The 16,825-nt window shown below is 48.7% G+C and overlaps 5 pseudogenes; all 5 read left to right on the top strand.

The window, feature by feature from the left end:
* Positions 5,064-5,175, top strand: RNA5SP406 (RNA, 5S ribosomal pseudogene 406; annotated as a pseudogene).
* Positions 5,310-5,419, top strand: RNA5SP407 (RNA, 5S ribosomal pseudogene 407; annotated as a pseudogene).
* Positions 6,043-6,142, top strand: RNA5SP408 (RNA, 5S ribosomal pseudogene 408; annotated as a pseudogene).
* On the top strand, positions 6,296-6,404 carry RNA5SP409 (RNA, 5S ribosomal pseudogene 409; annotated as a pseudogene).
* On the top strand, positions 16,660-16,765 carry RNA5SP410 (RNA, 5S ribosomal pseudogene 410; annotated as a pseudogene).

Here is a 16,825-nt window from a genome sequence, read left to right on the forward strand (position 1 = left end):
CTGCCTGGTTTGGCCAGTAGTCTTTCCCATTAGAATGCCTGGGGTCTGCCATCTGTCTTTCTCGTTAGACTGCCTGGGGTTGCCCAGGTGTCTCTATCATTAGACTGCCTGAGGCCAGCCAAAAGTCTCTCCAATTAGAATGCCTGGGGTCACCCAGGTGTTTCTATCATTAGACTTCCTGGGGTCGGCCATGAGTCTTTTCCATTGCAATGCCTGTGGTTGCCAAGATGTTTTTATCCTTAGATTGCCCGGGGTTGGCCAGGAGTCTCTCTTATTAGAATGCCCATGATGTGAGACATTGTATAGAATGCCTATAATGTGAGGGGTGTCTCACATTAGATAGCCTAGGGTCACTTAGGTGTCTCTGTCATTACGCTGCCTGCAGTAGACCAGGAGTCTCTCCCATTAGAATCCCTGGGGCTGCCCAGGTGTCTCTATCATTAGGCTGCCTATGGTCGGCGAGGACTGTATCCATTTAGAATGCCTGGTTTCATCAGGGATTTGCTCTCATTAGGTTGTCTGGATTCACTCAAGTGTCTCTATCATTAGACTGCCTGGGATTGGCCAGGAATCTCTCCAGTTGAAATGCCTGTGGTCAGCCAGGAGACTCTCCCATTAGAATGCCTGTGTTCTCTCAGATGTATCTATCATTAGAATGCCTGGGATCGAATGGGAGTCTCTCCAAGTAGATTTCCTGGGGTGGCCCAGATGTCTCTATAATTGAACGGCTTGTGGTCAACCAGGAGTTTCTTCCATTATAATTCCTGGGGTCACCAAGCTATCTATATTATTAGACTGCCTGGTATTGGCCAGCAGTCTCTTTCATTAGAATGCCTGTTGTCGCCCAGGTGTGTCTATCATTAGAATGGTTTTGGTCAGTTGGGAGCCATTAGAATGCCTGAAGTCACACAGGTGTCTCTATTATTAGTCTGCCTGGGGTTGGCCAGAAGTTTCTCCCATTAAAATACATGTTGTTGCAGATATGTCTCTGTCATTATAATGCCTGGGCTCGGCCTGGAGTGTCTGGCATTAGAATGCCTGCTGTCAAACAGGTGTCTCTATCATTAGATTGCCTGGGGTTAGCCAGAAGTCTCTCCCATTAAAATGCCTGGGGTCGCCAGCTGTGTGTATTATTAGACTTGCATAGTGTCGTCCAGGAGTCTCCCCATTAGAATACCGAGGGTAGGCTGGTAGTCTCTCCCATTAGAATGCCCCAGTGTCCTTATCGTTAGACTGCCTGGGGTAGGCCTGGAGTCTCTCCCATTAGCATGCCTTGGGTTGCAAATGTGTCTCTATCATCAGAATGCCAGGGGTTGACTGGAAGTTTCTTTCAGTAGAATGCCTAAAGTCGTTTAAGTGTCTCTATTATTAGACTGCCTGGGGTTGGACAGAGTCTCTTCCATTAGAATGCCTGGAGTCAACCAGGTGTCTTTATCCTTAGACTGGCTGGGGTTGGCCAGGAGTCTCTCTCATTAGAATGCTTGGGTTCAGCCAGGAATCTCTCCCATTAGAATGTCTTTGGTCACCTGGTGTCTCTATAATTTAAATGCCTGGGGTCAGCCAGGATCCTCTCCCATCAGAATGCCCATAGTCACCCAGGTGTCTTTATTATTAAACTGTCGGGTCTGCCAGAAGTCTTTCTCATTAGAATGCCTAACGTCACCCAGGTGTCTTTATCGTTAGACTACATAATATCAGCTGTAATTCTCTTCCATTGCAATTCCTTCAGTGGCCCAGGTGTCTTTATCCTTCGACTGCCTGGGGTTGGCCAGAAGCCTCTCTCATTAGAATGTCTGGGGTCGGCTTGCAATGTCTCCATTAGAAAGCCTGTGGTCACCCAGGTATCTCTCTCATTAAAATGCCTATGATGCGCTGGGGGTGTCTAACATTAGAATGGTTAAGGTCAATCAGGTATCTCTGTCATTACACTGCCTGTGGTCAACTGGGAGTCTCTCCCATTATAATGCCTGGAGTCACTCGGGTGTCTCTATAAGTAGACTGCCTGTGGTCAGCGAGGAGTTTCTCTCATTACAATGCCTGGGGTCAACAGGGATTTCCTCCCGCTAGAATGTCTGGGTTCACCCAGGTGTCTCTATCATTAGACTGCCTAGGGTCAGCCAAAACTCTCCCATTAGAATGCCTGGGGTGGCCCAGGTTTCTCTATCCTTAGACTGCCTGGGTTGAGGAGAAAATCTCTCCCATTAGAATGCTGGGGTCACTTACATGTCTCCATTATTAGACTGCCTGGGGTCAGCTGGGAGTCTCTCCCATTAGAAAGCCTGAAGTCTCCAAGGTGTCTCTGTAATTAGACAGCCTGGCGTCAGCAGGAGTCTCTCCCATTAGAATGTCTGGGGTCACCCAGGAGTCTTTATTATTAGACTGTGTGTGGTCAGCCTGGATGCTCTCCCATTAGAATGCCTTGCGTCGACCAGGTTTCTATAGTTAGACTGCCTGTGGTCGGCCAGGTGTCTCTCCCATTAGAATTCCTGGGGTGGGCCGGGAGTCTCTCCCATTACAATGCCTGGGGTCCCCCAGGTGTCTCTATTATTAGAGTGCCTTGGGTGGGCCAGGTGCCACTCCCATTAGAATTCATGTGGTTGCCCATATGACTCTATTTTTAGACTGCCATGGGCCGGTCAGGAGTTTCTCCCATTAAAATGCCTGGGATCGGCCAGGTGTCTCTAGACACCTGGGATTTATCCCTTAAGAATGCCTGGGGTCGGCTGGCTTTCTCTTTTGATAGAATGCCTGGGGTTGCCCATGTGTCTCTATCATTAGGCTGCCTGTGGTCTGCCTGGAGTCTCCCACGTTAGAATGCCTGATATCGCCCACGTGTCTCTATCATTAGACTACCTGAGACAGGGCAAGAGTCTCTCCAATTGGAATGCCTGTGGTTGGCCGGAAGTCTCTGTTATTAGAATGCCTGTGATCGCCTGTGTGTCTATTACTAAAATGCCTGGTGTCGGATGGGAGTCTCTCCCAATAGAATGCCAGGGGTCACCCAGGAGTCTCTATAATTACACTGCTTGTGGTCGGCCAGGAGTCTATCCCATTATAATGCCTAGGGTCGCCAAGGTGCCTCTATAATTAGACTGCTTGGTGTTTGCCAGGTGTCTCTCCTATTAGAATGCTTGGCGTCGGCCAGGAGTCTCTCCCATTAGAATACCTGGGGTTGCCAAGGTGTCTCCTTAGACTTCCTGGGGTTGGCCAGAAGTCTCTCTTATTAAAATGCCTGTGTTGCCGAGTTTTCTCTGTCATTATACTGCCTGGGGTTGACAGGGAGTGTCTGGCATAAGAATTCCTGGGGTCGCACAGTTGTCTCTATCATTAGACTGCCTGGGGTCATCCAGGAGTCTCTCTATTGGAATATCTGGGGTTGGCCAGTAGTCTCTTCAATTAGAATGATCAGGTGTCTATATCATTAGACTGCCTGGGGTCGGTCGGGGGTATCTCCCATTAAAATGTCTGGGGTCACATAAATGTTTTTATAATTAAACTGCCTGGGGTCGAACAGTAGTCTCTCCCATTAGAATTACTGAGGTCACCCAGGTGTGTCTATCTTTAGACTGCCTGGCGTCGGCCTGGAGTCTCTTATTTGAATACCTAGGGTCTGCTGGGAGTCTCTCCCATTAGAATGCCTGAGGTCCCCCTGGTGTACTTATCATTAGAGTGCCTGGGTCAGCTGGGAGTCGCTCCCATTAAAATGCCTCTGGTCGACCAGATGTCTTTATCCTCCTTATCCTTACATTGCCTTGGGTTGGCCAGGAGTGTCTCCTATTAGAATGCCTCAGTTTGCCAAGGTGTCTCTATTTTTAGACTGCCTATGGTTTGCCAGAAATCTCTTCCATTGGAATGCCTAGGTTCAGCTGGGAGTCTCTCCTATTAGAATGCCTCAGTTTGCCAAGGTGTCTCTATTTTTAGACTGCCTATGGTTTGCCAGAAATCTCTTCCATTGCAATGCCTGGGTTCAGCTGGGAGTCTCTCCTATTAGAATGCCTGTTGTTGCCAAGGTGTCTGTATCATTTGAATGCCTGGGATCATCTGGGAGTCTCTTATTGGAATGTCTGGAATTGCCAAGGTGTCTCTACCATTAGACTGCCTGGGGTCATAAGCAAGTCTCCCTTATTAGAATGCCTGACGTCATCCAGGTGTTTCTATCATTAGACTGTCTGGGTACAGCATGAGTCTCTCCCATTAGAATGCCTAAGGTGGCCCAGGTGTCTCTATTCTTTGACTGCCAGGGGTTATACAAGAGTCTGTCCCATTAAAATGCCTGGGGTCACCCAGGTGTCTTCATCATTAGACTGTCTGGAGTCAGACAGGAGTCTCTCCCATTAGAATGACTGGGTGGCCCAGGTGTCTCTATCATTAGACTGCTGGGGGTCGGCAAGAACTCTCTCCCACTAGAATGCCTGGGGTGGCCCAGGTGTCTGTATCATTAGAATACCTGGGGTCGCCCAGGTATCCATATCATTAGAATGCCAGGAGTCAGCCTGGAGTCTTTCCAATTAGAATGCCTGGGGTCACCCAGGTGTCTGTCATTAGACTTCCTGTGGTTGGCAAGGAGTGTCTTCCATTAGAATGCCTGGAGTTGAACAAATATCTTTATCATTAGACTGCCTGCTGTTGGCCAAAATTCTCTTTCATTATAAGGCCTAAGAGGGTTGGAGGCTTTTGGCTTCCCACTCCCTTCTCACTTTCCCCTGTTTGTGGTCCCGCTTCCCAACAGCCAACTGATTCCCTGGCTCCCACTTTTTACCTGCCTGTGCCCCGCCATGACCCGGGGCCCCCCTTGGACCGCCCTGGCAGCCCCCAGTGTCATATCAGCCTGACGGTGCCCCAGCTTGAAAGTAAAGTAGGGTCAGGACTGGCTGGAGCTTGGATGAGGGACAGCATGGGGAGACCAGCGGCTGGAGGCTTTTTGCTTCCTGCTCCCTTTCCACTTTATCCTGCTTGTGGTCCCACTTCCCAACTGCCCGGTGACTCTCAGGCTCCCCATTTCCCGCTTGCCTCCACCCCTGCGGTGCCCCATGGTCTCCGCTTGGGGGCCCGCCCTGGCAGCCCAGGTTCCATTGCAGCCTGAGGTCACCCCATCCCGGAAGCTAAGTAGGGTTGGGCCTGACTGTGTGACTTGGATGGTGGGCCACCTGGGGAGACCAGAGGCTGGAGACTTTTGGCTTCTGGTTCCCTTCCCGCTTCCCCCAACTTGTGGCCCCGCTTCCCAACCACCCCTGACTCTAACTCCCCCTTTCCTGCCCGCTTGCACACACACCACGGCCCGGGGCCTTCCTGTGGGACCCATCCCGCCAGCCCCTGGTGCCACAGCAGCCTGAGGGCACCCTAGCTGGAAAGCTAAGCAGGCTCAGGCTGGCTAGGGCTTAGATGGGGGGCCAAATGGGAAGACAGGGGGCTGGAGGCTTTTGGCTTCCTGCTCCCTTCCTGCTTGTCGCTTTCCAGCTGCCCCCTGACTCTCTGGCTCCCCCTTTCCCTCTCTCCTGGGCCCCCCTCCGCCTGGGGCCTTCCTGTGGGGGCCCACCCTGGCAGCCTCTGGTGTGATAACAGCCTCAGGGTACCCCAGTTCGGAAGCTAAGCAGGGTCGGGTCTGGCTGGGGCTTGGAGGGAGGACAGCCTGGGGAGACTGGGGGCTGGAGGCTTCAGTTTCCCACTCCCTTCTCGCTTTACCCACTTGTCCCCCACTTCCCAACCGCCCCCTCACTCTCTAGCTGCTTCTTTCCCGCCTGCCTGTGCCTGTGCCGGGACCTTGTCCTCCCCGTGGAAGCCTGCCAGGCAGCCCCCAGCAGGGTGCCATAGCAGCCTGAGGGCACCACATTCTGGAAGCTAAGCAGGGTCAGGCCTGGCTGGGGAGTGGATTGAAGACTACCTGGGGAGACTGGGGCCTGGAGGCTTTTAGCTGCCTTCCTGCTTTCCTCTGCTTGTCACCTCGCTTCCAAACTGCCCCCTAACTCTCTGACCCGCTCTTTCACACCTGCCTGCGCCCATGCCGCGGCTAGGGACCTCTCCGTGGCGGTCGGTCCTGGCTGCCCCAGTGTGCCATAGCAGCCTGAGGACGCCCCAGCCCAGAAGCTAAGCAGGGTTGGACCTGGTTGGGGCTTGGATGGGAGACCACCTGGTGAGACTGGGGGCTTCAGGCTTTTAGCTTCCTGCTTCCTTCCTGCTTTCCCCCGCTTGTCGCAACACTTCTCAACTGTCCCCGGGATCTCTGGCCCCCCTTTCCCGCCCGCCTTCGCTTCCAAAGCGGCCTGGGATCTCCCTGTTGGGGTTCGTCCCAGCAGCACCCAGGGGCCATAGCAGCCTGAGGGCACCCCAGTCTGTAAGAAAAGCAGGGCTGGGCCTGGCTGGGTCTTGGATAGGGGACCCCCTGTGAAGACCAGGGGCTGAAGGCTTTTGGCTTCTCACTCCCTTCCCACTTTCTCCTGATGCTGCAACACTTTCCAACCACCCCCGGACTCTCTGGCCTCCCCTTTCCCCCAACCTGCGCCCCTGCCGCGGCCCAGGACCTTTCCATGGATGCTTCTCCTGGCAGTCCCCTGGTGCCATAGCAGCCCGAGGACGCCCCAGCCCGGAAGCTCAAAAGGGTCGGGTCTGTACCGGGCTTGGATGGGGGACGGCCTGGGGAGACTGGGGGCTGGAGGCTTTCGGCTTCCTGCTCCCTTCCAATTTTCCCAGCTTGCTGCAATGCTTTCCAATGGCCCCTTGACTCTCTGGCCCCACTGTGCCAGCCCCCGCCTGCCTGAACCCCCGCTGCAGCCGGGGATCTCCCCGTGGGGGTCCGCAGCCGACAGGTGCCAAAGCAGCCTGAGGGTGCGCCATCCTGGAAGCTAAACAGGGTTGGGTTTGCCTGGTGCTTGCATGGGAAACCGCCTGGGAGAGACCAGGGGCTGGGGAATCTTGGCTTCCTGCTCCTTTCCCGCTTTCTCCCGCTTGTTGCAGCGTTTCCCAATCGACCCCTGACTCTCTGGCCACCCTTATTTTAACCCCTGCCCACCTGCGCCCCTGCCACAGCCCAGGACCTCCCTGTGAGGGTCCGTCCCAGCAGCCCCAAGACACCATAGCAGTCTGAGGGTGCCAACACCTGTCAAGCATATCTGTGTGAAGAGACCACCAATAGGCTTTGTGTAAGCAACAAGGCTGTTTATTCACTTGGGTGCAAGTGGGCTGAGTATGAAAAGAGTATCAGTGAAGGGAGATGGGGAAGGGGTTGCTTTATAGGAGTTGGGTAGGCAGTGGAAAATTACAGTAAAATGTGGTTATCTATTGTTAGCAGAGGAGGGGCCACAAGGTACATGGTGGGGGGATCATAAGACTTATTGTCCAGAAGAAGAATGTTACAAGGTTGATTGATCAGTTAAGGTAGGGCAGGGACAAGTCATAATGGTGGAATGGTGGAATGTTGGTTAATCAGTTAAGGCAGGAACAGGCTGTTTTACTTCTTTTGTGATTTTTTGGCTGCCCCAGACTTCTTGGCTCCTACAGGCTGTCTGGACATTTATGTGTAGGTCGCAGGGGTTATGATGGCTGAGTCTCGGCTCAGAGACCTGACATTCCTGTCTTTTTATTTATAAAATATATAGTTGTAAGAAAAGATAAAATATAAGTTTTTTTCTGGGGATTATTGGGGTAGGGGCGATGTTTCTCAGGACTGCCTCAGGCATGACTTAGGGGCGATGTGAACACCTAAAGAAAATTTAATTTTATAGTGAGTTGGTCTAGAAAGTTTTTGGGTACAATTCTGTGTGGCTAACAAGTCACCAGTTAGCATATTTTTGAGCTTGGAGTTGTCTTAATACAGTAAATTATCTAAAAATAGCAATTAAGCATAATAGCTTTAAGGTAGGTGACAGTGAGTTTTAGGCCAAGGTAGGAATAATGTTTTATATACCAAGGTCTTTTGTCCTCATTTTCCTTCATACAAATAGGACCTCCTGGCATCAAGCCAAAAGTCTATTATATTACTTTTTTCCTAAAGGTGTTAGTGGCGTTTTGAATAGAGGAGTTCAATACTTCTGATTGCAGACCTTATACAGGAAAGATAATAAGTACAATAGTCCTTGTCTCCTAGAATAAGTTGGGGCTGGCAAAGACAGAAATGTCCGATGCCTTCTGACAACCAACGATAGACCATGTGTTGTCGTGGATGTTGATCTGAGTGCCAGATATATGGAACCGGTCCTGTATTTGCATATTGCTTGTCATTTTTATGTGAGTAGGCCTGAGGACACCATGGGCAAAGATTTGACAGCTGCCACCTCAGGGGTTTTAGATTTTTAATCCAGAGATCCTTGATTTTGGGGGTGGGGAAAATTTTGGAGAGCAAGGCCTGAAGAAAGTTGTTTTTATAGACAGCAGGTCCTAAGAGATTAGGTTTAGAAGAACGGGTGAAGCAGGCCTGGAAATATGTTTGGACAGCCATTATTTGTAGGGGGTGTTGCATGGAAGCTTGGTCTTGTCAGTACGCTGCCAAGAGTCCATCACTGGTTTAGTCCTAAAGGTGAGAAGGAGTATAATACGACAAGGAATTGAAGTTTAGGCTGTGGGAAGATTTTGGGGTACAGGATATTACTGTGGGGTTTTTAAAAGCAGCAACTGCCATATGGAATAATTGGTGATGGCCTGGATGCGGTTTTGTATGAATTGAGAGACTAAATGAAAGACACAAGGCCTGAATAAGAGAAGGAGAAAAACAGGTACCAGGGGACTAAGAATAGGGAAGAACCAAGACACCTAGTTAGAAAGTGCCTAGGTGGGTCCAGCATAATTATTTGCCTGGCTGGCAAGATTTGGGGCCTAATCTTTAAGCTTTTTTATGTTGTCATACACCAGGCTGGACTGATTTAGATAAAAACAACATTCTTCATTTAAAAATATGCAGAGTCCTCCTTTTTCAGCAGTGAGTAGGTCAAGGCCTTGGTGATTTTGGAGGACAACTGTGGCTAAGGAATTGACCTGGGCCTGAAGGACTGATAAAGTTTGTGATATATCTGTAATGCTAGCAGAAAAGTCATTAGAAAGGCTACAGAAGGTTGTGACGGAAGTTGAAATGACTACTATTCCAGTTCCGAGGGCAATAGTGGAAGCAGAAAGTCCTAACCTTACAAGTAGAGGGATTAGAGGAATAATTCTTTTTGTCTGTTTGGTGTCATGAGGGGGACAGGAAGTTGTTCGGTGTCATGAGGGGGACAGGAAGTTGTTCAGTCCCATTTGCAAGTTGAATTTTGGGAGTAAGAAAAACTAGTGTACATGTATCTGTCCAATGAGAACGTACACACATGTAAGTGGGGGAGCCACAGAGGAAGAAGAGGCCTTGTGTAGGGAAAAACTGAAAATGTAGAGTAAAAAGATGGGAGGGAGTACCAGGTGAGGTGTCTTGTACCTAGACTCCTAGTAATCCAGTGAGAGCAGCATCCATTAAAGGTTGTAATGGGGACCTATGTGGTAACTGGGTAGAAAGGGAAATTAGATTTTCATGGTGTAAGAGAAAATGTACAGTGTCTACAGGTAATCTTTCAGTACTATTTATGGGGTTGGGTGTAAGTAAACAAGTTGCGGGGCTGGGAGGAGAGTCTGGAAAGCAAGGAGAAGGTAGCCAAGGATGAAGGGAAAGGCAGGGGAACTGTCTACCTAAGAAATAGTAACTGTTAATGTTTTTAAGTTTGTCAGTATGGATAGAGGGCTGGTCCATAATGCATAGCTGAGAAGCCCTCGTAGTTTCAGTAATGTGTGTCTTTGGGCTTTGGAGATGAAGAGTAAAGGAGCATAGCGAAAGTGAAAGGTTACCTATGGGAATTCTGGTAGGTGGTTGCTGGGAGATGCACAAAGGAGCGGCAGCAGGGATAGTGGTTTGAGTCATAAGGGGTCCAAATATGGAGGGAGTGGAATTAATGTAAGGGGAAAGATTTTTTAAGTCGGCATGGAGAAGGGCGTCAGCCTGCTGATATGAAGTGTCTGAAGAGGTTTTGCTGGATCTGTCCAGAAAATAAAGAAGTTCTTCAGGAGAATAGAGATGAGGCCCATTGAAAGAGGTTCAAAGATGTAGGGAGACAGATGTTGCCCAATCGGGAAGTAGGGCGGGGACAACTGTGTAAGAATAAGAAGAAAGGGAAATGCATAGCCAGCAGTTATTTGCTAAGGAGGGATTAGAGATGGCAAGGAGGGAGTGAATGAGATTGATGGTATGTTGTAGATAACTGGGGAGAGGTGGAGGGTGGCAGGAGAATGAGAGTAAGGCAAAGAGTGAGTATAAATGTAAAGAAAAGAAATTCATTAGGGTGGAAGAATTGGACTGTGTCTTACCAGCAAAGGTCATTTTTCCACTTAAAGAGGGAATTAATAGTGGCAGTTTCTGGGCAGCACCAGAAGATATTAGCTATGATAGTTTGGAGGAATGGGGTAAGAAAGGATAGACCTTACATAAGGATTATTACTGTTCTTCAGGAATGTGGGTGAGTTTAAGGGAAGTGAGGGAGAGGGCTTGTGACTTCCAGGAGGAAGAGGATAAATCAGGCTGGCTGTCTGAGAGGCATAGCTTTAATCTGGAATGAAGAACACAATGCGGGGGAGGTTTGCAGATGAACAGCCATTGGGGTGCTATAGATGACTAAGTGGGGTCCAGTCCACTGAGGTTGTAGAGTCTGAGTGGTCAGATTCTTAAAAAGAACTGACTGTCCAGCTAGAGTGTCTTCATATGGCTGGGAATATGGAGTAGGCAAAGGAAGATTAGCAGCTTGGCGAATTTCCTGTCTAGCTTGCTGGAGGACTGGAAGATAATCACCTAGAGGGCTGGTGTCTGGAATGAGAATGGGGCCTAATAAAAAGGAGCTCCATACAGGACCTCAAATGGGCTCTACCCTGTAGTGTCCTGAGGACAGGCCCGAATTCTGAGAAGAGCAAGAGGTAAAAGTACGGTCCAGTCGTTTTTAAGTTGGACGCTGAGTTTGGTGAGGTGTGTTTTTAAAAGACCATTAGTTCTTTCTACCTTTCCTGAGGATTGAAGGCAATAGAGAGCATGAAGTTTCCATTGAATGTCCAGGGCCTGGGAGACTGCCTGAGTGACTTGACTAATGAAGGTCGGTACCTTGTCAGACTGTATACAGGTAGGAAGGCCAAATCAATGAATTATATCTGACAGAAGGGAGGAGATGACCATGGTGGCATTCTCAGACCCTGAGGGAAAGGCCTCTACCCATCCAATGAAAGTGTCTATTCAGACCAACAGGCATTTTAGTTTTCTGAGTCAGGGCATGTGGGTAAATTCAATTTGCCAGTCCTGGGAAGGAGCAAATCCTCGAGCTTGATGTGTAGGGAAGGGAGGGTGCCTGAGAAATCCCTAAGGAGTAGTAGAATAGCAGATGGAACAATGAGAAGTGATTTCCTTGAGGATAGATTTCCATGATGGAAAGGACATGAGATGTTCTAAGAGGCAGGCTAGTGGCTTGTAACCTACATGGAAGAGGTTATGAAAGGATGACAGAATAGAATGGGCCTGTGAGGCTGGAAGTAGATATTTTCCTTGGTGTAAGAATCATTTGCTATGAGTGGGGAGGGACTGATAGGTGGAAATTCAGTGGGAGAGTAAGTAGGAGTGACTGATGAGGAGAAAAACTGGCCATAAGGGACAGAAGTAGGAATACTGGCTGCTTCTTTAGCTGACTTAACAGCATAATTGTTGACTTGAGCAATGGGGTCTGAGGCTCTTTGATGGCCTTTGCAGTGAATGACTCCAGCTTCTTTTGGAAGTAAAGCAGCCTTGAAAAGAGTTTTTATTAAAGAGGCATTAATGATGGAGGACCCTTGTGTAGTGAGGAAACCTCTTTCAGCCCATATAACAGCATGGTGGTGCATGCTATGGAAGGCATATTTAGAGTCAGTATAAATATTGATGTGAAGTCCTTTTGCAAGAGTGGGGGCCCAAGTTAGGGCAATGAGTTTGGCTTGTTGAGAGATAGTGGAGGGGGGCAGAGTGGTAGCCTCATTGATAAATGTGGAAGATACTATAGAATAGCCTGCTTTTGCTGGTGAGTGGCAATTAGGCCTGGTGGAACTGCCATTGATAAACTAAGTGTAATCAGGGTGTGGAACAGGAAAGAAGGAAATATGGGGAATGGGAGTGAATGCCAGGTCTATCAGAGAGATACAGTCATGGGGGTCAGGTGTGGTCTCAGGAATAATGTGGGAGGCTGGATTGAAGTTTGGGCCAGGAACAATGGTAATTGTGGGAGACTCAAAAGAGTGAGTACAGCTGAAGGAACTGGAGGGGGGTGCAGAAAGTATACGCATCAGGTTTGAGGAAGAAAATAGATTTTGAAAGCTATGAAAACTGTAGACAGTGAGTTGAGCACAGTTTATGATTTTGAGGGCTTCTAAAAGTACTAGAGCAGTGGCAGCCACTGCACCCACACATGAGGGCCAGCCTAAAACAGTAAGGTCAAGTTGTTTGGACAAAAAGATTACAGGGCATGGTCCCGATCCTTGTGTAAAAATGCTGACCACACAGCCCTGCACTTCGGCTGTGTGTAATGAAAAGTGTTGGGATGAGTCAGGGAGAGCTAGTGTGGGAGTCGTTTCTAGAGCTGTTTTCAGGGAATGGAAAGAGGAGTTGGGAAAGGATTTAGGATCGATGAGGTCAGCTAGATTTCCCTTTATGAGTTTATATAACAGTTTTGTTAAGATGGCAAAACCAGTATCCACAGGTGAAAGTATCAAACTCTGCCCAGGAAGGAAAGAAGGTTTTGCTTTGTAGAAGGGGTTGGGGTTTGAGAGATCAGCCAGACACAATTGACAGGGAGATCACCTGTGTTTTCAAGAATTATTATGCTGAGGTAGGTAATGGATAGGGAAGAAATTTGAGCTTTGGAGGGGGTTACCCAATATCCCTTGGAGAATAAATGTTGAAGGAGCAGGAGGGTGTCCTGTTGAGAAGATTCAAAGGAGGGGCTACAAAGTGGAAGGCCATCAATACATTGAATAAGGTGAGAAGCAAAGGGGTGGAAAGAAAGTAAATCATGAGAAAGAGCTTGGCTGAAGTAATGAGGGCTGTCCATGAAGCCTTGCAGCAGTCCAAGGTAAGCTGCTGGGACTGATGGGTGTCAGGGTCAGTCCAGGTAAAAGCAAAGAGGCTGGGACAAGGGGTGCAGGGGAATAGTGAAAAAAAATCTTTAAGATCAAGAATGGAATATTAAGTGGTGGAAGAAGGTATTGAGGACAAAAGAGTGTATGAGTTGGGCAAAACAGGGTGGATGAGCAAAACAATTTGTTTGATAAGGCATAGATCCTGAACTAACCTGTAAGACTTGTCCAGTTTTGGACTAAAGCCTATTGTGGGATGCCATACTGGCATTGAGTGGGATAAGGGTGATTAGGTTTTAATGGGATAGTAATGGGCATGTGATCAGTGCCAGGGAGGGAGTAGAGGTGTCCTATATTTTTGGGTTAAGGTGGGGAGATGCAAGAAGAAGATGTGAAGGAGGCTTTGGGTTGGGAGGAAGGGTGGCAATGAGATGTGGCTGTAGTCCAGTAATAGGTTAGCGAATAATTTTGTTAAAATGTCTCAACCCAATAAGGGAACATGGCAGGTGGGGATAACTAAAAAGGAGTGCATAAAAGAATGTTGTCTAAGTTGGCACCAAATTTGGGGAGTTTTAAGAGGTTTAGAAGCCTGGCCATCAACACCCACAATAGTAATGGGGTCAAGGGAAACAGGCCCTTGAAAAGAATGTAACGTGGAGTGTGTAGCCCCCGTGTCAATTAAAAAGGAGATGGACTTACCCTCCACTGTGAGTTACCTGAAGCTTGGCGTCCATGATGGTCCAGGGAGCTTCCCAGGCAATCGGGCAATGTCAGTCTTTAGCCACTGAGCTGAGCAGATATAAGAAGGAGTCAGAGAGCCTTGGGCCAGAACTTTAGGGGCTCTGGGAGTGGATACTGGGCGAGCTGTGCAGTCTGATTTCCAGTGGGTCCCTGCACAGATGGGACACAGCTGAGGGATCGCAGGCTGTGGGCATTCCTTGGCCCAGTGGCTAGATTTCTGGCACTTGAAGCAAGATCCTGAGATTGAAGGTCCTGTAAGAATGCCTGACCTCTTTGGCTTAGGTGCTTTGAAGTTCTTGTGTGCTGGAGGTGTGGCTGGGTTTAGTCTCACAGCAGAGGCAAGTAATTGTAACTCAGAAATGCATTGACGCTTGGCTGCCTCTTCTCTCTTATTGTACACCTTGAAGGTGAGGTTGATTAATTCCTGTTGTGAGGTTTGAGGGCCAGATTCCAATTTTTGAAGCTTTTTTCTAAAGTCAGGAGCTGACTGGGTGATAAAATGCATACTGAGAATAAGACAGCCTTCTGGGCTTTCAGGGTCTAGGGCTGTAAAGCATCTAATGATAACTGCCAAATGGGCCATGAACTGGGCTTTGTCTTCGTCTTTACCTTGGGTAGTTTCTTTAAGTTTGTCACAATTAACAGATTTGTATGCTGCCTTTTTAAGCCCTTCAACTAGGCAGGAAATCATGTAATCTGCCTAGCTATACCTGGGGGACCTGCCTGATAGTGACATTGGGGATCTTCTCGGGGAACCACTTTAATGCCTTCCTGGAGGCTGGGCTCATGATGCTGGTGGGTGTCTGAATGAGATTGGGTTAGAGAAAAAAAAAAACTTTCCCATTCATCTGGGGAGAGGGTAGAAGTTAGGATGACATTTAAATCACTCCAGGTTACATTGTAGGACTGGGTGAAATATTGGAATGCCTGTATATATTTGGTGGGGTCTGATGAGAAGGCACCTAAGCATTGATTTATTTGGGAAACTTCTGATAGAGAAAATGGTACATGCACTCTGACGATGCCCTCAGCTCCAGCCACTTCTTGAAGAGGAAATTGTTGGGCAGGGGTGGGGGAGTATTTGACAACAAACAAAATTGTAAGCTGGACCGGGTGTGGGGAGGGGAGGTGATAGAAGGGTTTTAGATCGGGGAGCAGAGACTGAAGAAGAGTTGTAGCCTGATTCAGCCTGGCAGTGAGTGACCTGAAGAGGAGCAGTCTGGGGAGGAGGGGAGAGGTCAGATGGGTCGGTAAAAGGGGAATATTCAAAAGACTCAGCAGTGCTTGGGGTTGGGGCTGAAGGGACAGGCAGAAGGGAAAGAAAGAAGATTTGGGATGAGTCACATTGGGAACAGAGATTAGGGAGGGAATGAAGTGTTAAAAATGCCTGGATGTAGGGCACTTCAGACCATTTGCCTATTTTATGACAAAAATTATCTAGATCTTGTAGGATGGAGAAATCAAAAGGGTAATTTTCTGCACATTTAGAGCCATTATCAATTTTGTATTGGGGCCAAGCAGTGTTGCAGAAAAAAAGTAGATGCTTAGGTTTTAGGTCATGTGAGAGTTGAAGAGATTTTAAGTTTTTAAGAACAAAGGCTAAGGGGGAAGAAGGAGGAATGGAGGGCAGAAGGTTGCCCATAGTGAAAAGTTAAGTTGAGAGAAAAGAGGGGGTACTTGCCACCCAGGGGAGGTGGTACTTGCCACCAAGGTGGAGGATCAAGGCACGCATACCCGCAGTGATCGAACACCTCTGGAATGTGGGTGAATCAGGCAAATGTCCTGCAGTGACTAGACACCAAAGGAAAACTGTCTTCCTGAGTACGTGATCAGTGCCAGACTTTTCAGTCTACAGATAAAATGTGTTTCCTCTGTCTCTGCCAGAAAGGGAAAGGAACTGAAATTAAGGAAAGGGAGAGATTGAAGGGTGGCACTGAAATTGAAAGGAGAAAGAGGTTGAAGGATACTGAGAGAGGTTGGAGAAGAGAATAAAAAAGGCTGCTTACCCGATTCAAAATTGGTGAAGTGTTTCTTGGCTGGTCAGAGGACCCGAGGTTGTAGGTGGATTTTCTCACAGAGCAAAGAGCAGGAGGACAGGGGATTGATCTTCCGAGGGAGGTCCCCTGGTCTGATTCATGGCTCCAAACGTCAAGCCCATCCATGTGAAGAGACCACCAACAGGCTTTGTTGAGCAACAAGGCTGTTTATTCACTTGGGGGCAAGTGGACTGAGTCCAAAAAGAGAGTCAGCAAAGGGAGATAAGGAAGGGGTGCTTTACAGGAGTTGGGTAAGTAATGGAAATTTACAGTAAAAGGTGGTCATCTATTGTTAGCAGAGGACAGGGTCACAAGGTACATGATGGGGAGATCATAAGACTTATTGTCCAGAATAAGAATGTTACAAGGTTGATTGATCAGTTAAGGTAGGGCAGGGACAAGTCACAATGGTGTAATGGTGTAATGTTGGTTAATCAGTTAAGGCAGGAACTGGTTATTTTACTTCTTTTGTGTTTTTTTGGTTGACCCAGACTTCTTGGCTCTTGCAGGCCATCTGGACATTTATGTGTAGGTCACAGGGGTTACAATGGCTGAGCTTTGGCTCAGAGACCTGACAAAGCCCAGAAGCTAAACAGGGTTTGGCCTGCCTGGGGCTTGGATGGGGCACCGCCTGGGGATACTGGTAGGTGGAGGTTTTTGGTGTCCCTCTCCCTTCCCGCTTTTCCCTGCTTGTCACAAAGGTTCCCAACTGCCCCCGACTCTCTGGCACCTCTTTTTCCACCCATATGCGCCACCGCCAAGGCCCAGTACCTCCCTGTGGGGGTCCATTCTGTCAGCCCCTGGGTGCCATGGCAGCCTGAGGGCACCCTGGCCTGGAAGCTAAGCAGGATCAGGTCTGCCTAGTGCTTGGATGGGGCACCACCTGGGGAGACTGGGGGCCAGAGGCTTTTGGCTTACTGCTCCCTTCCCGCTTTCTCCCGCTTATCGCAAGGCTTCCCAACCGC

Source organism: Homo sapiens, chromosome 16 (genome assembly GCF_000001405.40).
Source record: "Homo sapiens chromosome 16, GRCh38.p14 Primary Assembly".
NCBI classification, from domain to species: Eukaryota; Metazoa; Chordata; class Mammalia; order Primates; family Hominidae; genus Homo; species Homo sapiens.